The sequence below is a fragment of the Homo sapiens genome, chromosome 14 (assembly GCF_000001405.40).
Source record: "Homo sapiens chromosome 14, GRCh38.p14 Primary Assembly".
Classification (NCBI taxonomy): Eukaryota; Metazoa; Chordata; class Mammalia; order Primates; family Hominidae; genus Homo; species Homo sapiens.
In genome coordinates this window covers 69,423,402-69,449,466 of record NC_000014.9, presented here as the reverse complement: position 1 = coordinate 69,449,466, position 26,065 = coordinate 69,423,402, and the positions used below count along the sequence as shown (strand labels likewise).

General features: G+C 39.8%; 1 protein-coding gene across 8 annotated transcripts in view; it reads right to left on the bottom strand.

Moving 5' to 3' along the window:
• SLC39A9 (solute carrier family 39 member 9) overlaps positions 1-26,065 on the bottom strand; it is a 64,007-nt gene that overhangs the window by 12,924 nt on the left and 25,018 nt on the right. For 6 of the 8 annotated variants that reach the window (NM_001252151.2, XM_024449648.2, XM_047431550.1 and 3 more), the window contains exons 2-3: positions 25,265-25,373; positions 7,201-7,398 (exon numbers count right to left, since the gene is read on the bottom strand). In NM_001252151.2, coding sequence (NP_001239080.1) covers positions 7,201-7,249 — 49 coding nt within the window. In that variant the 5' untranslated portion in view covers positions 7,250-7,398; positions 25,265-25,373. Of the gene's footprint in view, positions 1-7,200; positions 7,399-7,494; positions 7,636-25,264; positions 25,374-26,065 lie in introns of all 8 variants that reach the window. The other 2 variants (NM_001252152.2, NM_001330185.2) reach the window with 2 other exon arrangements.

The window sequence follows — 26,065 nt, the reverse complement described above, 5'->3', positions numbered from 1 at the left end:
TTTTTGTAGAGACGGCGTCTCGCTTTGTTGCCTAGGCTGGTCTCAAACTCCTGGGCTGAAGCAATCTTCCCGTCTTGGCCTCCCAAATCGCTTGGGATTACAGGCGTGAGTCACCATGCTCAGCCTACGTTAAATTGAAACTGACAAGAATCACAAGAAAAATGTCTTGGAGCCCAGTGTGGCCAACTGTGTGATACAGCCAGAGTCCAATACCACCCAACAGTGCTTCTCATTTGCTGTTTGGAGTAAGGCACAATAAAACCATTTATTCTTACATCAACTTTCCAAGATAAGATTTTATTAAAAAATATAACTCTATGGAAAAAAATTTAACACATAGTAAATACAAGGAGATTAAAAACCGTTCTAGACCAAAATTATTTTGTTTTGTTTTAAGCTTACTCCCATAATTTTTTTAAACTCTAATTTGGAAATAATTTTAAACCTTCAGTAAAGTTGCAAGAATAGTAAAAAAAAATTCATACATCCTTTTCTCAGATGGACCAATATATTGATTAACATTTTGCCTCATTTGCTTCATCATTTATACTCACGCTCTCTGTACACACACACATTCTTTTTCTCTAACATTTAAAAGTAAGTTGCACACATCAATAACCCTTTATCCCCAGATGCTTCAATGTGTATTTTCTAAGAGAAAAGATATTTTCTTACATCATCACAGTACAGTTATCAACACTGACACTTTTTCTAATTTTCTTGCATATTGTAATTTTGTCAACTGCTCAATAAAGTACTTACTTCAGGGCATGTTTCCTTTCCAGGAAGGATCCAGTCTAGAATCACACATTTCACTTACTTGTAACTCTTTAGTCTCCTTTAATCTGGAACATTTCCTCTCGCTTTGACTTTTATGACATTGCCATTTTTGGATAATATATTCTCCTCCTTTCTTGTTTTTTTAGTAATAAAAACTTTTGTGTGTATGTCCTTAAGACTACGGGTTCTTGGATGAAATGTTATAATGGTGATGATGCTTCTCCGGGTATCACATCTAGAGGTGCAGGATGTACATCTGCTGCTCACTGGTGGTGTTAATTCTGAATTATATCCTGGACATTGCCAACATTATCTCATGGATAGTCAGATTTTGTTATATTCCTCCAAAGAGTGACTTTTTTGTTTGTTTTGCTTTAAGTAGCTTGGTTGGATTAAAACTGCAAAATGTCTTTTGGGTTGCTGCTCAATTTTCAGTTTAATTTTTTTTTGTGCTTTTTTTTTTTTTTTTTTTGAGACAGAGTCTCACTTTGTTGCCCAGGCTGGAGTGCAGTGGCGTGACCTCGGCTCACTGCAAGCTCCGCCTCCCATGTTCACGCCATTCTCCTGCCTCAGCCTCCCGAGTAGCTGGGACTACAGACGCCCGCCAACACGCCTGGCTAATTTTTTTGTATTTTTAGTAGAGACGAGGTTTCACCGTGTTAGCCAGGATGGTCTCGATCTCCTGGCCTTGTGATCCACCTGCCTCGGCCTCCCAAAGTGCTGGGATTACAAGCCTGAGTGACTGTGCCCCATCACTTTTTTTTTTTTTTTTTGGAGACAGGGCCTCCCTCTGTTGCCCAGGCTAGAATACAGTGGCACAATATTGGCTCACTGTAACCTCCCTGTCCTGGTCTCAAGCTACCCTCCCACCTCAGTCTCCTAAGTAGCTGGGAGTACAAGCGCAGGTCACCACGACCAGCTAATTTTTGTATTTTTTTGTAGAAAAAAGGTTTTGACATGTTGCCCAGGCTGGTCTCAAACTTCTGGGCTCAAGCCATCCACCCACCTTGGCCTCCCAAAGTCCTGGGATTACAGGCATGAGCCACTGCATCCAGCCCAGTTTAGTTCATAATTATCTTCAGCTGAGCTACCTGGAGTCTGCCAAGCATGGTTCAGGGTCAGCTGGAGACCGAGGCAGTTCATATACAGAATTTGGGGCTGAGTTTCTCTTCGTTCTAGGATTCTCCCTTATTTTCAGTGCTGTAACCACTGAAACTCCTGAACTCTGTCCTCTGGTTCTTCAGTCCAGAAAGACTGAGTTTTCTATCAGAGTTTTAGCTGTCCCACAGGGGGCTGACTACTGAAAGCAGTAAAAATAGGAAATGCACCCTGTTCTAAGTGTTGACTCCCTTCCAGAATTTGCTTGCTTTGGGTTGCTCTCCACTGGTTTTTTGAATTCTGTCCAGCATTTTTAGTTACCTGTAAGGAGGCTGATCTGAGAGCTTACTTGGTCATATCAAAAGCAGAATGCTTGTGACCTTAATTTTGACTATCCGATCAAGGTATCATCTGATTTCTTCATTTAGTTACTTCTTTCCCCTTGAAGCCAATAAGGAAATAAAAATTTGCCCCCTACATTTAACATTCATTGATGATGCGTGCCTGAGCCAACCTTTAAGGAGGGTTGCAAAAATGAGTATTTTTCCAACTCCAGCACTCTTTCTACATTTAATAATTGGAGCATTCTACTATAAGCAAGTGCTCTCTCTCTCTCTCTCGCTCTCTCTCTCTCTCTCTCTATATATATATATATATATCACAGATGGGCTCATGGATTCCCATTTTTTTTTCTTTTTCTTTTTTTTTTTTTTTTGAGACAGAGTTTAGTTCTTGTCTCCCAGGCTGGAGTGCAATGGCACAATCTTGGCTCACTGCAACCTCTGCCTCCTGGGTTCAAGCAATTCTCCTGTCTCAGCTTCCCCAGTAGCTGGGATTACAGGCGTGTGCCACCATACCTGGCTAATTTTTGTATTTTTAGTAGAGATGGGGTTTCACCATGTTGGCCAGGCTGGTCTTGAACTCCTGACCTCAGGTGATGCACCCGCCTAGGCCTCCCAAAGTGCTGGGATTACAGGTGTGAGCCACCGCGCCCAGCCAGATTCCCATTTTTTGAATGGTTTATGCTTTATTACTGTTCTTAATTATGTTGGTGCTCAACTTATCCCACATGTGGCCAGTGGGAACCCTTTTAAGAGGGTTCCTATATCCTATGACATGCTCCCATCTTCTTCCTTCCTTCTGTTTTTTTCAGTTCTAGATGTTCCAAGCTCACTTGTACTTACCCTGCCCCTGTCCTGGAATCAGCCCTGAGTCTTCTCTGAAAGGCCCTGGCTTGCTCATGCTAGTGGGATGTCTTTATTTCTAGGCCCCATCTTCAGACAGAGCTAGGACATATATATATATATATGTATATATAAATATATATACAAAACCAAATACATTTAGAAATCCCGAGTCCAATACTTCCAATTCCAATAAGTCCCTATAGGGGTTCTTTCTTGCCTTCCTCCACTCCATACTTGTGTGTTCCTTCTTCCACACTTAGAACCCTGACTCCACCAACATCAACATGACCCATTGACTCAATCCTATAAAACATCTAAAGCAGCTTCAGAACTGTTTTGCCCATTCCATTACAAACAACAACAACAACAACAACAACAACGAGTTCAGTATTTGTTTATGGTTTTCTCCCAACTCTACCCAAGACTAAACATATGTAGTCAAATACTACATTCATAATTTACTTGAATTAGTTTTTGTTAAATCCCTTCAGTGTGATTGTATTATTCACTTGAAATACAATTCATCTGTTTCAGTTAGCGCTCCCATCCATATTGGTTTCATTCTATTTTTTGAATATGTAGAACATTAACATGTTTCCAAAAGTCAGAATTATACCAAAAAGGCATGCTCAGGGGAATATCATGTGCTCCCAAAACCCTTTTGCCCTCTCAACTCCTCCACCTCACCCCATGCAGTTAATAAATGTCTTTTGTTTTCTAGCCAGTTCTTCTTCTGTTTCTTTTTTGTAAAGGTAAGTAGATACACTTGACCACTGCACTGAACAATGTGGATGTTGGAGTGTTGACCCCCTACACAGTCAAAAATCCACATACAACTTTTCACTCCCCAAAAACTTAACCACTAATAGCCTACTGTTGATCAGAAGTCTTAATGATAACAAAGTCGATTAACACGTATTTTATTTGTTATATGTATTAATACTGTATTTTTACAAAAAAGTAAGCTAGGTAAAAGAAAATGTTATTTAAAAATCATAAGAAAGAGAAAATATATTTACTATTAAGTGGAAGTGGATCATCATAAAGGTTTTCATCCTCATCATCTTCACATTGAGTAGGCTGAGGAGGATGAGGAGGAAGAGGAGGGGTTGGTCTTGCTGTCTCAGGGGTGGCAGAGGTAGAAGAGGTGAAGGAGGTGGAAGGGGGGCAGGAGAGGCAGCCACACTCAGTGTAACTTTTATTGAAAGAAAATCCATGTATAAATGGACTCACACAGTTCAAACTCATATTGTTCAAAGGTCAACTGTATGTTTTTCTTATTTCCCCTTCTTTCTTACATAAAACATAGTATATGCTAGATGATCATTACATTTTTTGCTTTTTTTTTTCCATTTAACAATACCTCCTGGAAATCTCTCCCTATCAGTTCACAGATACCTGAATCTTTATTCTTTTATTATTATTTTTTTTAGAGCGACAGGGTTTCGCATTGTCTCCCAGGCTGGAGTGCAGTTATGCGATCATAGCTCACTGCAGCCTTGAACTCCAGTTTCAAGTAATCATCCTACCTCAGCCTCTCAAAATGCTGGGATTAAAGGGGTGAGCCACTGCGCTCTGCCTGAATCTTTATTCTTTTCTACAGCTACATAGTACTCCATTATGTGTACATACCATAGTTCATTCAGCCAATCTCCATGACTGAACATTTAAGTATTTTCCAATGATAAATAATGCTGCATTGAATAATCTTGTGCATATGTATTTTCATATTGGAGCTGTATTTGAGTAAATCCCTAGAAGTGGGATTTCAAAGGGTAAACATATATGTAGTTTTGTAAGATACTGCCAAATTCCTCTCCATGGGCATTGTACCATTTTGCATTGCCACCCCAATATATGAGTGCCTATTCTATCACAGCTTTGCCAATCGGGTGTATTGTTAAGCTTCTGAATTTTTGCCTGACAGGTAAGAAACGGTATCTCAGCATAGCTTTGACTTGTATTCAAGTGAAATTGAACATCTTTTCATAAGTTTAAGGGCCATTTTAATATCTTATTGCGATTATCTGTTCATGTCTTTTGTCTGCTTTTCTGCAGATTTTTCTGTCGACCAAAGATTCTTAGCCTGGGGTCTATAGAGGTGAGTACAGGTAGAATTCAGGGGATGTCTGTGACTTTAACTTGAAAAAAATGCGTTTTTATTTTTACTAACCTCTGAAATTTAGCATTTCCTTTGTCTTTATTTTTTTTGAGATGGGATCTTGTTCTCTTGCTCAGGCTGAACTGGAGTGCAGTGGTGTGATCGTGGCTCAATGTAGTCTCAACCTTCTGGGCTCAAGTGATCTTACCACCTAAGCCTCCTGAGTAGCTGCGACTACAGGCATGCCTCATCATGCTTGGGTAATTTATTTTTTTTTCGTAGAGATGGGGTCTCACCATGTCTCCCAGGCTGATCTTGAACTCCTGGTCTCAAGTGAACCTTCCCCCTCAGCCTCTCAAAGTGCTGGGATTACAGGCATGAGCCACCACGCTTGGCCACATTTCCTTTATTTTTATTATCATTATTATTTTTGAGACAGGGTCTCACTTTGTCACCCAGGCTGGAGTGCAGTGGCGTGATCTCAGCTCACTGCAGCCTCAACCTCCTGGGCTCAAGCGTTCCTCCCGCCTCAGTCCCCCAGTAGCAGGGACTCCAGGTGCGTACCACTATGCTCAGCTAATTATTGTATTTTTTGTAGAGATGGAGTTTTGCCATGTTGCCCAGGCTGGTCTCAAACTCCTGAACTCAAAAGGATCCGCCCATCTTGGCCTCCCAAAGTGCTAGGATTACAGGTGAGTCATGGTGACTGCCCCCTCATTTCCTTTAATTATGAATGCAGACAATAAACCACAAGTAATATCAGCACTATCTTTACTGCCAGTAGAAATCAGACTAATCAGGTTATTTTACAGTTGTAGATTATCTTTAAATTATCGCTTTCACTCATCACTACTTTAAATTAAGGACTTATAGAACTGCTGCCATACTGCATGATTACAGCTTTCCTGTCTGCAGATGCTCATGTGATGGAGCTGGGCAACTATCAAGTAGCTCTGCATCTAACAGTCACTCAGCCACCAAACAGTGATAGTCACAAGGCTCTCCCATTGGGGACCAAGATACTTATGCTGCTTTCCAATATTTCCTATCTGCAAAATTCCCTGCTGACATATCTGAAAAAATATGTCTACACATCAATCCCTGGAGAAGTTTTATAACTCTCAAATTTATTTCTATCACCACAGGATCGAAGTGTATCATGTATCAGAATCCTTTTTTATTAATATAAATCGTATGAAAAATGTTGACCTAGCCAAAGATAAATTCATTGATCTTAAAACAAAACAGTTACTATGACTGGAGTCAAATTTGAAAAGTCTTGGGGAATTCTAGTTGTCCTTTAGAGAAGCTTATGATTCCTTAAAAAGCAAGCTACAAATGTGTTTAGGTACATTTGTAAGAAAATACCTTTGTAAATCAAGATTTTCTACACCAATAACCATCAAAACAAAAACCCAAAATCAACTAGATGTTTAACTTGACATACATGTTGCCTTGTTACAGACTACCTCATAATTTAATGTTCTTAAGCCAAGCATATTATTATGTAATAGCTAGCATACTAATGTCCTAGAAAATAAAATTCAACTCTAACTTGTTTAGGATTTAAATGTATTATCTCATTATTTAATGCACTGATAAAGACATACATTACTATATCACAAATTTGTTCTGATGTTTTAGTAACTGTATTTCAACAAAGGTGGTTTTCTCTTTGATCTTATGTACTATGTTTTATACATTTAAAAACAATATTCCAATAAAAGGTCCACAGTCTTTAGACTGCCTAAGGGCTCCACAGCAAAAAACTAAGTTAAGAACTTCTGCCCTAGACTCTCAACCAAATGTGACAACTTTAAGACAAGCAAAGTAATAAACCAATAAACACTTCTTTGCGCCACATGCCACAACTCACTAGCTCTCCCCACTTAGTTAAATGTTCACTAGAACCCAAGGAAGACAAGAGTTTTAGCACTAAATATGGCCACTGATACAGACTGAAATATTTGATCGTTTGTAACTTTCTCAACTGCAAATGTATTGCACTGCCCAGAAAGCCTTGGAGCCACTCACCGTCAGTAGAATGCACATGGGAGTTACCAATCTGGTCCACCAGCAACATGAAAACGAAGCCCAGAACGAGGGAAACACCAATATAGGCATGCAGCTGTGTGTGGTCGTGGCTGTGCTCATGTTCATGGACAACTGATTTTTCTGCTGCTTTGTCTGATGCAATCACATTATGTGTTTCACTTGCTTGGTGGTGTTTTCCTAGAGCAGAATAAACCATAAAGAGAAAATATGTTTTTCCCCTAAAAACATTTTCATGTAGGAGTTTCCATTCTTTGTATTTCAAGCTCTACTTACTTTACTGTAAAGACATCCACTTTTTATATTGTAATCCAGCCAATCATTAACTCCTTCAACTTAAAGTTCATGATGAAAAAATTCCCAAATGTCTTCTGCCTTTGGCATGCAGACCTTCTGACTGCCTATTATTCTCAACACCTGGGAAGTGGAAGCAAATCACCATGCAAGAAAGCAATCATATTCCCAAAGGGACACCATCCCCAAATATTCCTTTATCTGAGAAATTCATGCCAATCTCACCAGAAAATACACTGTTTTTTTCTGATGAAAATAGGCAAATGAAGAGCAGTAACAATGAAAATAATTGCAATCAAATTCATCTAGTTTATACCTAGGCTGAGATAAAAATGTAAAATAAGGAACAAATTGAGTAGAAAATTTTTAGCTTTATAAAATATCAGCAGACAATTGCCAGCAAGAAACCAAAAGGGCAGAGCAGTTTAAGAGGCACATCCTTCAGTCTAAATTCAGTTCTAGAAATATGGAGGTTGGGAGACTCTGAACTGCAGTAAATGATACCTGGCCAGCTGATAATCCCAGTTTACAGTAACATATTTGTCATTTAAAACATAAATGCTTCAAAAGGCCAAAAAGCTTATCTTTGCTATATTTCATGAATAGAGAATAACATACTAGACATTTATCATTTATAATCAGATTAAGCAGTTTAAGCCTTCTTTAAAAATTGAGACAAGGTCTCATCTTTCACCCAGGCTGGAGTACAGCAGTGGTGCAATTATGGCTCACTGCACCCTCGACCTCCCGGGCTCAAGCAATCCTCCTACCTCAGCCTCCCAAGTAACTGGGAAACCACAGGCAAGTACCACCATAACCAGCTAATTTGAAAATTTTTTTGTAGAAATGTGGTCTCCCTATGTTGCCTAGGCTGGTCTTGAAATCTGGGGCTCAGGTGATCCTCCCACCTTGACCTCCCAAAGTGGTGGATTACAAGTATGAGCCACTGTGTCCAGCCTAGAGATCCTGTCTCTTAAAAACAAAACAAAACAGGCCAGGTGCAATGGCTCATGCCTGTAATCGTAGTACTTTGGGAGGCCAAGGGGGGCAGATCACGAGGCCAGGAGATCAAGGCCAACATGGTGAATCCCCGTCTCTACTAAAAATACAAAAACTAGCTGGGCACGGTGGCGCGTGCCTGTAATCCCAGCTACTCAGGAGGCTGAGGCAGGAGAATCGCTTGAACCAGGGAGTCGGAGGTTGCAGTGAGCCGAGATCACGCCACTGCCTTCCAGCCTGGCAACAGAGGGAGACTCTGTCTCAAAAAAACAAAACAAAACAAAACAGTTTCACAAAATAATATCCAACCTTACAACAGTTACAATGTACTCTTCTGTTTCTTTCTCTGTCTCTCTCTCTTTCTTTCTTTTTGAGACAGGTATGGCCCTTTCACCCAGACTAGACTACAGTGGTGCAATCTCAGCTTACAGTAACCTCCATTTCCTGGACTGAAGTCATCCTCCTACCTCAGTCCCCCAAGAATCTGGACTACAGATGTGAGCTACCAAGTCCTGCTAATTTTTATATTGTTTTTGTGGAGATGTAGTTTTGCCATGTTGCCCAGGCTGGTCTCAAACTCCTGAGCTCAAGTGATCCGCCCACCTTGACCTCCCAAAGTGCTGGGGTTACAGGCTTGAGCCACCGTGCCTGACACTATTCTTATGTTTTTGAGACAGAGTCTCACTCTGTACCCAGGTTGGAGTGCAGTGGCATGATATCGGCTCACTGCAACCCTGTGCCTCCAGGGTTCAAGTGGTTCTCATGCTTCAGCCTCCCGAGTAGCTGGGTTTACAGGTGTACTACATGGTGAGTTCTTGCAAGATCTGATGGTTTTTAAGGGGCCCTTCCCCTCTTCATTTAGCACTTCTCCTTCCCGCGGCCTTGTGAAGAAGGTGCCTTGCTTCCCCTTTGCTTTCCGCCACGATTGTAAGTTTCCTGAGGCCTCCCCAGCCATGCTGAACTGTGAGTCAACTAAACCTCTTTAATTGACCTTTATAAATTACCCCGGCTTCAGGGCCTTTTGTGGTTACATATGAATTTTAGGATCGTTCTATTAAGGTTTATTTGGCTTACAGTTCTGCAGGCTGTCCAAGAAGCACGAATCTGAGGATCTCAGGAAGCTTCCAATCATTGCAGAAGGGGAAGAGGAGTCAGTATTTCACAAGACGAGAGAGGGGAGGGGTGCCATGCTCTTTTAAACAACCAGTTCTCTTGTTAAATTATAGAGGGAGAACTCACTCATCAGCAAGGGGATAGCACCAATATGTGCATGACGGATCCACCCTCATGACCCAAACACCTCCCACCAGGCCCCGCCTCCAACACTGGGATCAAGTTTCAACACTAGATGTGGAGGGGACAAATATCCAAACCATAGCAAATGCCACTGGAATTATGATAGGGGTTGCATTAAATCTGTAGATCACTTTGGGTACTACGGATATTTTAACAATATTAATTCTTCCAATTCATGAACACAGAATACCTTACTTATATTTTCTCCAATTTTTTAAATCAATGTTTTATAGTTTTCAGCATATAGATCTTTTACCTCCTTGGTTAAATTTATGCCCAAGTATTTTATTTTATTTTATTTTCTGATGCTATTATTATTTTTTTAAAAATTATACTTTAAGTTCTAGGGTACATGTGCGCAACGTGTAGGTTTGTTACATATGTATACATGTGCCATGTTGGTGTGCTGCACCCATTAACTCCTCATTTACATTAGGTATATCTCCTAATGCTTTCCCTCCCCCTCTGATGCTATTATGAATGAAATTGTTTTCATAGTTTCTTTTTCAAATAGTTCATTGTTAGTGTATAAAAATGCAACTGATATTTGTATGCTGATTTTGTATCCTGCAACTTAACTGCATTTGTTTATTAGTTCTAATTTTTTTGTGTGTGGAATCCTTAGGTATTTCTATGCATAAGATCATCTCACCTGAAAACAGAGACAACTTTACTTCTTCCTTTCCAATGTGAATGCCTTCTATCTTTTTTGTCTGCCTGACTGTTCTGGCTAGGGCCCCCTATATTTTATTTAATGTAGAGTAAAGTGACAGAAAAAGCCACAGTTAATCATACCTCTATAAAGAATCTGATACATGGCATTCTTACAGAACTGATAAAAATGAGTGGGATAATCTACATTGAGCCATGGCTGACAATAGCAGTTTTGACAATACATCACATTTATATTTTCATCTTTGACCCAATAGTCTACCTTCCTAAACATACCAATTCTAACAGTCCAAAGAATTTTGAGATGTTTTCAAATTTTGGCTGCACAGTAAAGTGCTGCATTACCCAACAATCTTTGAAGTTCTTAAAACTTGTTTCTATAGACAGTTTTTTTTTACGTGAAAGCTGATAATCATCTAATTCCAGTGATTTTAGAGCTATAATTACAGAAGAGTAAGAGGTTCCTTTTTACATTAATTAGTATTTAATAATGCTTATTAAAGCATCAGAGCACTTAGTTAACATGATATACTGAGTTCTGAAAACAATGTATTATAATTATAAGGTCCACAGAAGAACGAAACCATAGGCTGTAGTAACATGTATACAAACGTCTTTCTTGAAGTACGAAGAAAAGTTGTTTTGGTCTACAATAAAGAAAGAGGGGGGTCAGGCGCGGTGGCTCATGCCTGTAATCCCAGCACTTTGGGCGGCCAAGGCAGGTGGATCACCTAAGGTCAGTTGTTCAAGACCAGCCTGGCCAACATGGTGAAACCCCGTCTCTGCTAAAATACAAAAATTAGCTATGCCTAGTGGCAGGTGCCTGTAATCCCAACTACTAGGGAGGCTGAGGCAGGAGAATCACTTCAACCCAGGAGGCGGTGGTTGCAGTGAGCCGAGATGGTGTCACTGCACTCCAGCCTGGGTGACAAGAGCAAAACTCTGTCTCAAAAAAAAAAAAAAGGGTAAGGGAAGAGGGTAAGAAAAGAGAGAGTAAAGCAGCAAAAACAAAATTACAATGATATGTCTAAACTCATCAGTATGAAGAAAGATGTAAAAAATCTGGAGACAGCTTAGCTGAAAGGTAATATCATGGTTAAGTTACTTCACAGATTTTTTTGAGTTACTCTTCCCAGCACTTTGGGAGGTTGAGGCAGGTGGATCACGAGGTCAGGAGTTCAAGACCAGCCTGGCCAAGATGGTGAAACCCATCTCTATTAAAAATACAAAAATTAGCTGGGCATGATGGCAGGCACCTATAATCCCAGTTACTTGGGAGGCTGAGGCAGAGAACTGCTTGAACCCGGGAGGTGGAGGGTGCAATGAGCTGAGATGGTGCCACTGCACTCCAGCCTGGGCGACAGAGTGAGACTCCGTCTCAAAAAAAAAAAAACAAACAAAAAAACTTCTTTAACAGAGGTATTAACATTTTACATTTTAAAAGGAATGTTGGAGACATCTGATGCTGGCCATGTTACAGTAAGAGCATTTTGACGTCAATCACCCACTGATTACAACAAAAACTGGACAAAACACACCAAAAAACAACTACTTCAGGACTACAAAAAGTAAACAACAGCAAGTGAAGGCAAGGCAGCAAAAACTTCTAGAAAAACCCTGTCTTTCCGGCCAAAGGACCAGGAAAAGAGGTTGCTAAGAGGTAGTGAAGTACAGGAAAGTCTCCCCTTTTTTTCTCTACCTCCTCTTTTTTCTTTCCTGGTCCTGCCTTTAAGGCAGCCCCAGTTGCAGAACTGCATGGTGGCAACAAAGGCAGTTAAAACCCCATCTTTCTGGCCAGAGCAAATAGAAAAAGGGATCCCAGGCCGGGCGCGGTGGCTCACGCTTGTAATCCCAGCACTTTGGGAGGCCGAGGCAGGTGGATCATGAGGTCAGAAGATCAAGACCATCCTGGCTAACATGGTGAAACCCCGTCTCTACTAAAAATACAAAAAATTAGCCGGGTGTGGTGGCAGGCACCTGTAGTCCCAGCTACTCGGGAGGCTGAGGCAGGAGAATGGCATGAACCCGGGAGGCGGAGCTAGCAAGGGATCCCAGTGGTCTGAAGTGTATGGGGGAAACCTGGTTATGCTGTTCTGCCTTTTCTGCTGTTACTTTCTTTTGATAGAAGCCCAAGTCACATGGAACTATGTGGTGGCAACACATGTAGTGTTGCATGCAGCCACAGCTCTATAGAGAAACCTTGTCTTTCTTGACAGAGGACCAGGAAAATGGGGTCTGTTTGCAAAACAATGTGGAAGGAACACTGGAGAGGAAAGAGCTGAGAGAGGGGTTCTTTAATCCTATGTATAAACGGCACAAGTCCCAGGCTCACCCCTGAACTCAGTATACACAGGACATAGCCAAAGCAGCATTGTAAAGGCTTTGAAAACTCAGCTAAAATGAGAACCATCATCCAAAAAACAAAAAACAAAAACAAAACAGAACTTTTAGGCTGAATCTAAATAGGTTAACTTCCTGCTAAAACAAAAGAAATAAACATTCTCCAGAGATTTTGACGGGACTCAGATTCTCAAGTTATCATATTCAAAATGTCCAGCATACAACCAAAAGTTATTTGACATACAAAGAAACAGGAAATTTTGACCAATTACCGAGGGAAAAGACAATCAACCCAACCCACAGATCACTCAGATACTGGAACATTCAAAGACTTACTTAAAGCAGCTACTCTAACTATGTTCTCTAAGCTAAAAATAACATACTTTTGGAAAAATAATTTTTAAAAAATAGAGACAGGGTCTTGCTATGTTGCCCAGGCTGGTCTGGAACTCCTATACTCAAGTGATCCTCCCCCACCTGAGCTTCCCAAAGTGCTGGGATTACAGGCGTGAGCCACTGCGCCTGGCCGAAAGGTAAAAATTCCTCAAATAAATGAACATCCTCAGCAGAGAAACAGACACTTATAAAAAGAAACGAACTGGAAATTTTAGAACTGAAAAATATAATATCTAAAGTAGTAAATTCACTGGATGAGATCAATAATAGACTGGAAATGGCTGGGCACAGTGGCTCACGCCTATAATCCCAGCACTTTTGGAGGCCAAGGCAGGTGGATCACCTGAGGTCAGGAGTTCCAGACCAGCCTGGGCAACATGGTGAAATCCTGTCTCTACTAAAAATGCAAAAATAAGCCAGGCGTGGTGGCACACCCCTGTAATCTCAGCTACTTGTGAGGCTGAAGCAGGAGAATCGCTTGAACCCGGGAGGCAGAGGTTGCAGCAAACCCAGATCACACCACTGCACTCCAGCCTGGGCAAAAGAGCAAGACCCTGTCTCAAAAAAAAAAGAAAATAGTAGACTGGAAAGGACAGAGGAAAGAATCAGGGAATCTGGCTACAATGGCCGAGGTAAGAAGTACAAATTAAGATCACGTGGCTCACAAAGTCTAAAATATTTACTATCTGATGCTTTACAGAAAAAGTTTGCTAATCTCTCGTCTAAACACATCAATTAGAAGACAGAGGTTGTCAAACTAGAGTTTAAAAAAAATGATACAACTATATGCCATCTGTAAGAAGTCCACTTTAAATGAATGGCACTGGCTAAAAATAAAAGGATAGAAGGGAAAGATATAACCATGGAAACACTGATCAAGAGAAAACTGAATGGTTATATTAAAATTAGATGAAGTAGACTTGTGAACAAGAAATATTACCAGGAATAAAGAGGGATATTGCACAATGATTAAAAAGGTCAATTCACCATGGCATAGCACTCCTAAACATGTAGGTACCTAACCAAAGAGCTTCAACATACATAAAGCAAAAGCTAATAGAAATGAAGAGAAACAGATAAATCCACAATCATATTTGAAGACTTCAATACTCCTGTCTTAGTAATAGAAGCAGAAAATCAGCAAAGATATAGAAGACCAAACAACTTGACTTGAAATTTACAGAACAAGAGAATGTACATTCTTTTCAAGTGTGCATGGAACGTTCCACAAGATAAACCATATTCTGGACCATTAAAAAAGCATTTACAAATCTGTAAGTTTTCAAATCATACTAAGTATATTTTCTTACCATAATAAAGTTAAACTAGAAATCAGTAACAGAAAGAATCGGGGGCAAAACCAAGCAACCAACCAAATTTTAAAAACCACCACTCAAAAATTTGCAAATTAAATCACACAATTCTAAGTAACACACGGGTAAAAGAGGAAGTTGCATGAAAAATTAGAAAATATTTTGAACTAAATAAAGATAAAAATATAGCACACTAAAATTTTGAGATGCAAATAAAGCAGTGCTTAGAAAGAAATTTATAGCATTAAATTCTTTTTTCTTTTTTCAGGGAGGGTCTTGTTCTTTCACCCAGCCTAGAGTGCAGCGGCATAATCATGGCATGGCTCACTGCAGCCTCAGCCTCCTGGTGTGTGTGTCACTGCGCCCACCTAATTTTTCTGTAGTCACTGCGCCCACCTAATTTTTCAAATTTTTTTGTAAATACAGGGTCTTCATATGTAGCTCAGGTTAATCTCAAACTCCTGGTCTGAAGTTATCCAGCTGCCTTAGCTTCCCAAAGTACTGGGATTACAGGCGTGAGCCACCATGCCTAGCCTAAATTCTTAGAAAAGAATAGGCCAGGTGTGGTGGCTCACGCCTGTAATCCCAGTACTCTGGGAGGCCGAGGCAGGTGGATCACCTGAGGTCAGGAGTTCAAGACCAGCCTGACCAATATGGTGAAACCCTGTCTCCACTAAAAATACAAAAATTAGCAGGACGCGGTGGTGGGCGCCTGTAATCCCAGCTACTTGGGAGGCTCAGACAGGAGAATTGCTTGAACCCGGAAGATGGAGGTTGCAGTGTGCCGAGATCATGCCACTGCACTCCAGTCTGGGCAACAGAGCAAGACTCTGTCGCGCAAAAAAAAAAAAAAAAGAAAAGAAAAGAATTACATGCCTGTAATCTCAGCACTTTGGGAGGCCGAGGTGGGAGGATTACTTGAGGCCAGGAGCTTGAGACCAGCCTGGCCAACATGGTGAAACCCCGTCTCTACTAAAAATACAAAAATTAGCTAGGCCTGGTGGCACATGCCTGTAGTTTCAGCTACTTGGGAGGCTGAGGCATTGGAATCACTTGAACCTGGGAGGTGGAGGTTGCAGTGAGCTGAGACTGTGCCACTGTACCCAGCCTGGGCGACAAAGTGAGACCCTGCCTCAAAGAAAGAAGAAAAGAAAGAAAAGCAAAGAGAAGAGAAGACAAGAGAAGAGAAGAGAAACCTCAAATCAATGAGCTTCACCTAAAGAAACTTTAAAAAGTACGAGGAAATAAATCAATTACTTGAAAGACACAACTTCCAAAGCATACTCAAGAAGAAACAGGTAACTTGAACAGTCCTATATCTATCTATTTAAAAAACTGAATTCATAGTTAATAACCTTCCATCATAGAAAATGCCAGGCCAAGATTGCAAATTCACTAATAAATTCTAACAAATATTTATGGAAGAAATATTATTGATTTTATATATTCTCTTCTAGGATATAAAAGAGAAGGGAACACTTCCCAAATCTAAGAGGCCAGCATTACCCTGATAAAACCATACATAGATGTTGTTAGAAAGGAAAACCACAGGCCAGTATTCTTCATGAACAGAAACACAAAAATCCTTAATAAAATATTAGTAAATTGAATCCAGCAGCATATAAAAAGAATTATATATAATAACTAGGAGGTGGGTATATGCAAGTCTAGTTCAACATTTGAAAATCAATCACTGCAATTCACTCCATTAACAGACTGAAAAAAGCACCTGATGAAATTCAACAACCATTCAAGATAAACACTCTCAGCACACTAGGAACAGAATGGAACTTCCTTATATCATTAAAATGGCCATACTGCCCAAAGCAATCTACAGATTCAATGTTATATCAAACTACCAACATCATTTTTTACAGAACTAAAAAAAACTATTCTAAAATTCATATGGAACCAGAAAACAGACCAAATAGCCAAAGCAATCCTAAGCAAAAAGGACAAAGCCAGAGGCAACACATTACCTGATTTCAAACTACACTATAAGACTATAGTAACCAAAACAGTGTGGTCCTGGTAGAAAAACAGACACATATACCAATGGAACAGAACAGAGAACCCAGAAATAAAGCCATATACTGACAGCCATCTGATCTTCAACAAAGTGACCATGGAGGACTCCCTAGTCAATAAATGGTGCTGGGATAGTTGGCTAACCATATCCAGGGGAATGAAACTGGACCCCTACCTTTTACCAAATACAAAAACTAACTCAAGGTGGATTAAAGATTTAAATGTAAGACCTCAAACTATAAGAATCCTAGAAGAAAACCTAGGAAACCACTCTGGACATCAGCCTTGGGAAAGAATTTATGACTAAGTCCTCAAAAGCAATTGCAACAAAAACAAAAACCGACAAGTAGGACCTAATAAAACTAAACAGCCTCTACACAGTAAACTATCAAGAGAATAAACAGACAACCTACAGAATAGGAGAAATTATTCACAAACTACACATCTGACAAAGGTTTAGTATCCACAATCTATAAGGAACTTAAAAAACGGAACAAGTAAAAGACAACCACATTAAAAAATGGGCAAAAGACATAAACAGACCCTTCTCAAAAAGACATATAAGCTGCCAACAAACATGAAAAACCACTCCAAATCACTAATCGGCAGAGAAATGCAAATCAAAACCAAAATAAGATATCATCTTACACCAATCAGAATGGATATTATTAAAAAGTCAAAAAACAACATGCTGGCAAGGCTAGGGAGAAAAGGGAACACTTATACACTGTTGATGGGAATGTAAATTAGTTCAGTCACTGTGGAAAGCAGTTTTGGAGATTTCTCGAAGAATTTAAAACAGAGCTAACATTCAACCCTGCAATCCCGTTACTGCATATCTATCCAAAAGAAAACAAATCACTGTACCAAAAAGACACCATGCACTCTTATGTTCATCACAGCACTATTCTCGATAGCAAGGACATGGAATCAACCTAGTTGCCCATCAACGGTGGACTGGATAAAGAAAATGTGGTACATATACGCCACGGAATACCATTCAGCCATATAAAGAATGAAATCATGTTCTTTGCAGCAAGGAGGATGAAGCTGGATGCTATTATCCTAAGTAAATTAATGCAGGAACAGAAAACCAAATACCACATGTTCTCACTTACAAGTGGGAACTAAACATCAGGTACTCATAGACATAAAGATGGCAATAATAGAAACTGGGGACTACTAGAAGGGGAGGAAAGGAAGACAGTAAAAGGTGAAAAACTATTGGTATGCTCAGTGCCTGGGTGATGGGATCATTTGTACCCCAAACCTCAGCATCGTGAAATAGACCCAGGTAACAAACCTGTACATGTACCCCCTGAATCTAAAATAAAAGTTGAAAAAAAAAAAAGAGAAACAGGGAATCCATAAAAAACCTATATCTAACCTCATATTTAATGGTGAAAGACTGAATGAAAGTAAGGCAAGAATGTTCATTTTCATCCCTAATCAATCTCATAATGGATAGTCTAGTCAATGCAATAAGGAAGGTAAAAAAAAAAAAAGGCAGATAGGAAAGGAAAAGGTTAAGCTGTCCCTATTCACAGACGACATGATTATTTACGTAGCAAATCCCAAGGAATCTACAAAAAAGTGCCTATACGTAATGAAATTTCTTATATTAGAACTTTTTATATACTAGAATACTAGAAATTGAAAACATTATAAAAGTATTATTTACAATTACTAAAAACATGAAATATTTAGGCATAAATCAATAAACTATCTGCAGATCTGTATGCTAAAATTACAACACTGATGAAATAAATCAAAGAAGATCTAAATAAATGGAGAGATACACTGGGCTCATGGGTTGGAAAATACAATATTCTTAAGATGTCTATTCTCCCCCAAATTTATAGATTAATCTTGGTTAGAATCCCAGCATGATTTATTCCATAGATATTTGACAAGCTGATTTTAAAATGTTTATGGAAAGGCAAAGAAGTTTATGGAAAGCCAAAACAATTTTCAAAAATAAGAACAAAGTGGGCTGGCTGGGGTGGCTCACACCTATAACCCCAGCCAAGGTAGGAGGGTCACTTGAGCCCAGGAGTTCAAGACCAGCCTGGGCAACAGAGTGAGGCTGTCTCTATATAAACAGTTTAAATAATTAGCCAGACATGGTGGCATGCACCTGTAGTCCTAGCTGCTGGAGAGGCTGAAGTGGGAGGATTGTTTGAGCACAGGAGTTCAAGGTCACAGTGAGCTATGATCATGCCACTGCACACTCCAGCCTGGGTGACAGAGTGAGACCTTGTCTCAAGAAAAAAAAAAAAAAAGAAAGAAAAATAAGAACAAAGAAGGACTCCACTACTTGATTTCAAGATTTGCTATAAAGCTACATCAAGACAACGTAGTGCTGGTAAAAGGTAAACATACAGATCAATAAAACAGAACAGAGAATCCAGAAATAGACCAACACAAACACAGTTAATTGATTTTTGACAAAAGTGCAAAGATAATTCAATAGAGAAGGGATTTTTTTTCAAAAAATAGTGTTAGAACTACTGAATATCCACCCATATGCCAAAAAATGAACTTTCACCTGCATTCAAAATAGATCATAGGATTAAATGTAGAACTGAAAATCATAAAAGTTCTAGAAGAAAACAAAAGAGAATAACTTTGTGAATTCGGGCTCAGCAAGGGGTTTTAGATATGACACCAAAAGCAAAATCTCAAAAGAAGTAACTGATAAATTGGACTTCATCAGAATTAAAAACTGCTCTCTAAAAGATACTGTTAAGAGAATGAAAAGATAAGCCATGAACTAGGAGAAAATGTTTGCAGAACATGTATCTGATAAAGGACTTGTATCTAGAATATATAAAGGACTCTCAAAACTCAGTAATAAGGAAACTCAATTTTTAAAATGAACAAAATGTTTGCTATCACCACAGAAGCTATAACAATGGCAATTAAGCATATGAAAAGATGTTCAGCATCATCACAGGGAAATGCAAATTAAAACCACACTGAGATATCACTATGCTGCTATTAGAATGGCTAAAATAAAAAACTAAAACAAAACAGACAACACTAAGTGTTGACAAGGAAGGGGAGAACTGGAACTCTCATCTATTATTGATGAGAATGCAAAATATTACAGCCACTTTAGGAAGAGTTTGTCAGTTTCTTTATGAAATTAAACATATATTTGTCATGTGACCCAGCAATCCTACTTGCAAGTATTCTTTTGTCTTGCTCTGATGCCAAAGCTGGAGTGCAGTGGCACAATCTCAGCTCACTGCAACCTCTGCCTCCCAGGCTCAAGCAATCCCCCCACTTCAGTCTCCCGAGTAACTGGGACTACAGGTGTGAGGCACCATGCGTGGCTAATTTTTTGTAAGGACAGGGTTTCACTATGTTGCCCAGGCTGGCACCTGTAAGTATGCAAGAAAAATAAAAACTCATGTTCATACAACAACCAGTACATTAATAGTGACTTTATTCATAGTCACCCAAACCAGGAACCACCCATATATACATCTTCCAACTGGTGAAGGAATAGCCAAACATGGTTCATGCAAACAATGAAATACCACTCAGAAAAAAAAAAGGTACAAACTATTGATACACAGAATATAAGGGGACTTCAAAAAGCTTGTGGAAAAATGGAATTAAAAGATTAAAAAAATTTAAAAATATAAACATTATTACTGAACATAAGCTCTATCAAGTGTGAGACACTTTTGTAAATGATGATACCAGCTATTTAGTTCACCCCTAAATAACTGAGGGTCCTGGAAATTTAACCATGTCAATGCAGTCTTTTTTACATTATTAACTGAAGAAAAATGGGTACCCTTTATAGATTTTAAGATTAGGAAACAAAAAGAAGTTGGAAGGAGCCAAATCAGGACTATAAAGCTGATGCCCAAAACTTTCCTATTGAAAACCTGGCAAAATTGCCCTTGTCTGATGAGAGCAATGAGCAGGAACATTGTCGTGGTGGAGGACTCTGATCAAGCATTTCTGGGCATTCTTCTGCTAAAACTTTGGGTAACTTTTTAAAAACCATAATACGCATCTCATAATACGCAGATGTTATGGTTCATTGGCACTCTAGAAAATCAACAAGTAAAATGTCTTGCACATCCCCAAATACTGTTGCCAGTGACCTTTGCTCTTAACCGACCCACTTCTGCTTTGACTGACCACTTCCACTTCTCAGTAGCCATTGCTTTGAATGTGGTTTGCCTTCAGGATCGTTGGTAAAGCCATGTTTCATCTTCTGTTACAATTCTTTGAAAAAAACCTCCAGGATCTTGATCCCACTTGGGTCCCATTTCCATTCAAAGTTCTGCTCTTGTCTGCAGCTGATCTGGGCACAACTGTTTTGGCATCTATCGAGTGGAAAGTTTGTTCAGTGTAAAATTTTCAGTCAGAATTGTGTAAGCTGAACCAATTTAGAGGGCTATGGGGTTGGCTATTTTTTGTGTTGTTAATTGTTGGTCTTCTTTAGTTAGGGCAAGAACAAAATTAATTTTTTCTTTGAAAATAGGTGTGGATGGTCTGCTGCTGCAGGCTTCATTTTCAACATCATCTTGTCCCTTCTTAAAACAAGTTAGCCATTTGTAAACTGCTGAATTCTTTGGGGCACTGTCCCCATAAACTTTTTTTTTTTTTTTTTGAGACAGAGTCTCGCTCTGTCGCCAGGATGGGGTGCATGGCACAATCTCGGCTCACTGCAACCTCCGCCTCCCAGGTTCAAGCGATTCTCCTACCTCAGTCTCCCAGTAGCTGGGATTACAGACATGCGCCAGCACGCCTAGCTAATTTTTGTATTTTTAGTAGAGATGGGGTTTCACCATATTGGCCAGGATGGTCTCGATCTCTTGACCTTGTGATCCACCCGCCTTGACTCCCAAAGTGCTGGGATTATAGGCGTGAGCCACCATGCCCAGCCCCCATAAACTTTTTGTAAACCATCAATGATTTTATCATTCTTACACCCAACCTTCCCCATAAATTTGATGTTTATTCTTGTTTCTATCTTAGCAGAATTCATGTTGCTCCAATATGGGCTCTTTTCAAACTGCTGTCTTAACCTTCTTAGTGCCTCTAAGTAGATCCTGTTCAGACATGTTATAACAAGTTAGCGCAAGTTCATTTTAGTGCAAAAAAGTTTTTTGAAATCCATGCATAGTTTTTCCATAATACACATTTTCCCTTCATATACTGACCCTCAAATGCATTATGCTAAGTAAGAAGCCAGACCCAAAGGTTACATGATTCCATTTATGACATTCTGAAAAGGCAAAACTATATAGACAGAGATCAGTGGTTGCCAGGGGTTGAGAGTGGAGAAAACATTACAAATGGACAGCACAAGCATACTTTTTAGGGTGACAAAACTATTCTGTATTTTGATTGTAGTGGTGATAACATCACTCTCTATGCATTTGTCAAAACTTGTAGATGTGTACACCTAAAGTGTGAATGATAAATATATAAATGAAAATATTTTTTAAAAAATTTAAATGACTTAGGGCTGGAAACTAATCTATGATGAAAGGTTAAAGAGACCAGAATGCTTATTTTCAGAAGAGACTTATAAAGCACTTTGTAATCTGTTTTCAAATGACACCACAAAATTACTCTGGCTGGGTACAGTGGCTCACACCTGTAATCCCAGCACTTTGGAAGGCTGAGGTGGGTGGATCACTTGAGCCCAGGAGTTCGAGACCAGCCTGGGCAACATGGTGAAATCCTGTCTCCATAAAAAAATCTGAAAATTAGCTGGGTGTGGTGTCATGAGCCTGTAGTCCCAGCTACTTGGGAGGCTGAGGTAGGAGGGTCACCTGAACCTGGGGAAGTCAAGGCTGCAGTGATCACACCACTGCACTCCAGCGTGGGAGACAGAGTGAGTCCCTGTCTGAAAAAAAAAAAAAAAAAAATTATTTTGGGTCAAAAATCAGGAAAACTGAAAATAAGGGAATGCAACCTGTGGTGTTATTTTATGTATGTGTGTGTGTGTATGTGTGTACATATGTGTATATATGTAAACACATATATACATAGTATATACACTATACACTTACAAACATATACACACACACACAAACGTTATGTGTATATATTGGTTTTTGTCCACAGTTCCTGGTTCATAACTTACATAGCCTTTGTTGCAGTCTTTTGTTATACTGTTGGGTGTGTTAGGCCTCAACAGCAGGCTTCTGACCTTCTCCTGCCCTCTTTTCACCTGCCCCAAGGCAGGACTTGGGGTCTTAAGCTCCCATGAGAGGGTACGATCCTAAACCCTTGGGGGAGGAATGCTAACATCTTGAAACTTCCATAAAAACCCAAGAGGACAGGGTTCAGGGAACTTCTGGCTAGCTGAACATATATGAAGGCTGATAGAAAGGTGAAGAATTCATCCATGTGCCAGGAGGGTGGCGCACCCCAACTCCACAGGGTCAGAAGCTCCAGGACCCAGGACCCTTCCATACCTTACTTAGTCTTTGTATTTCTTCATCTGGCTGTTTGGCTGTTTATCTGTATCCTTTAAAATATCATTCTTAGTAAACTGGTAAATGTAAGTGTTTCTCTGAGTTCTGTGACCCACTCTTGCAAATTGACTGAACCCAAAGAGGGGGTTGTGGGAACCCCAACTTGAAGCCAGTTGGTCAGAAGTTCCAGAGGCCCAGGCTTGCGACTGGTGATGGGTGAAGGAGGGAGCAGTCTTGGGGACTGAGCCCTAGATCTGTGGGATCTGATACTGCCTCCAGGTAGACAGCGTCAGAATTAAATTGGAGGACACCTGGCTGGTGTCCACTGCTTGGTAGTGGGGAGATATTGCCACGCATCTGGTTACAGAAGTTTTTCTTCTGTGTTTATGATTGTTGTGGTGTGAGAGCACAGGAAAAACACGGTTAGAGAGAGTTTTTCTCTACACACAACCTAACACACGGTAGATAATTTTAGTCTTAAACTACACCTGGGCTGGGTGAGGTGTCTCACACCTGTAATCCCAGCACTTTGGGAGGCCAACTTGGGAGGATCGCTTGAGTCCCGGAATTGGCAACCAGCCTAGGCAACAGAAGGAGACTCTATCTCTACAAAAAAAAATTAAACATTAGTCAGGCATAGCAGTGTGCATCTATACTATAGTCCCAGCTACTCAGGAGGCTGAGGTGGGAGGATTGCTTAAACCCAAGAGATTTCAGCTGTGATGGCAAAACTGGACTATAGCCTGGGCGACAGAGTGAGACCATGTCTCAAAACAAACAAATAAAAAAAAAAACCCAAAACCCCCAACTATACCTGAAACAGGGTATGTAAATTATATCTCAAATTGATATTAAAAATAACACAAAGAAACTATACTTGAAGCACTTCTTTCCTCTACTCCAGTGTTTCTGAAACTTGTTTCATAAGAATTGCAGACAGCTTGTTAAAAATAGATATTCCCGGGATCCTTCCTGGAGGTCAGGAAATCATACTTTTAAAATGTGCCTCTTCCTCAAGGAATTTTCATTATCAGACAACTTTAGAAAACAACTGCCACCCATAAAAGGACAAATGTTAGGATAGTGATTTCTATAGTGGAATCACATCCCAGAAAAATTCAAGATGACCCACTAGAATATGAAAGAAAATACTGTTCTATGTATATTTAAATCTCAGGTCTCAAAAATATTCCTGTTTTAGGAGTGTATTTTATAATGTACACATTAAATCAGTGCAATAGTGCATGTAAATCATTCCTCCCTCCCTCTGTAGGATGTGTGACCATAAAAAAAGTAGAGACCACTGCTTTAAGGCTCCTGATTTATTACTGTTCCCCAATGCAGCTGACCACTCCTCAGCCCCTGTCCTATCTTGCAACACTTCTGCAATCCTCATTTATATCTGCCAAAACTCTTTGTCTATCAAACCCCAGGCCTAAGAGCATCACCATTCTGGATAAAGGACACAGTTCTTTTCCTCTACCAAGATCTGAAAAAGTATTTATTATATTGTATCTAGTAAGAAATTTGGAAGTGCCTACCTCTTTATACTATTCTTAACATCTGGTAGACTTGGTACTTGAGGATTCAGCTCATGGATTTAACAGCTGTGGTGTCAATCCTTCACAGGTAACTGTGAAGTTTCATGACATGTAGTAATCGGATTTTGCTAAGTCACAAATGTGAATCAAGTATGCTTTTCAGCTGTGTGAAGGACCAAATTACTTTGCTGGTGAGTAAGCCAAGCTGACCACCAAGCATTTACTCTCACACAGCTATACTGTTCCCTCTGCTTGTTGCTATTAGGGTCAGGAAAGGCCTCTTTAATTTTTTCAGTTATCCTTTACTGCATGGGTCCTCATCAATTATCTATAAAGTTTACTGTAAAGGGTCCTTAAATTTAAATATTTATATCTATATATTTTTAAATTAAACAAAAAATGCAGCCACTATCATGTGGGATTTGGGAAGTGTTTGAGTAAGCATTAAAAAAGAACTGTCATAACTTAAAATGACTCATTCATGCACTGTGGCAAATAAACATTAAGTGGTATTCATGAATTGGGACATTCAGTTGACAAACTGCTAAGGATGTGTCAATATCAAAGATATCAAGATATCTCTCAACAAATCTTCTCAGGGTAGAACTCTATGGTAAACATGAACTGTGCTCAGAAAACATACCACTAAGCTTCATCCTGCTAACCCTCCAAGTCAATAACATATCTCAAATAATGCTCTTCCCTTTCTCACCCTCAAGAATATCTTCATAAAGGGCATGTACTCCTTCAGGCACGATGACTGCCAGAGCAGTTCCACAGAGAAGGCCAGCACCCAAAACAGTCACCAGCTTCAGTCGTTCCTGGGGAGAAAGCAAAAGAAATAATTGCAAACTTTGATTAATTAATGGGAAAAAGTTTCTCAAGTATCTGTAATCAAGACTGTGAGCTGCTCATTTGTGAGACCAACATCTACAATAGACAGCGAAGATGAAAAATGATCAATTGCATGAGTAATGCCAAGTAAAACAAAGAGATGAATTTTTTTTTTTTTTTTTTTGAGACAGAATCTTGCTCTGTCGCTCAGGCTTGAGGCAGTGGCGTGGTCTCGGCTCACTGCAGCCTTCGCCTCCCAAGTTCCAGCGATTATCCTGCCTCAGCCTCCCGGGTAGCTGGGATTACAGGCGTGCACCACCACATCTGGCTAATTTTTGTATTTTCAGTAGAGACGGGGTTTCACCATGTTGCCCAGGCTGGTCTCCAACTCCTGACCTCAGGTGATCCGCCCGCTTCGGTCTCCCAGAGTGCTGAGATTACAAGCGTGAGCCACTGTGCCTGACTGAGATGAAATTTTTTAAATGACCAGGTTAACAATGATTTGGGAAAATGTCTACTATCCATGATAGGAAGAATGAGTACACTTTAATACTGGAAGGAATGTGAATTGCTACAACCTCTGGAGACTACAGTTTGGCATTTAGATTTAAAGCCTCAAAAATGTGAACTCTTTGATCCAGAAATTTTACTTCTAGAAATTCATCCTAAGAAAGAATTG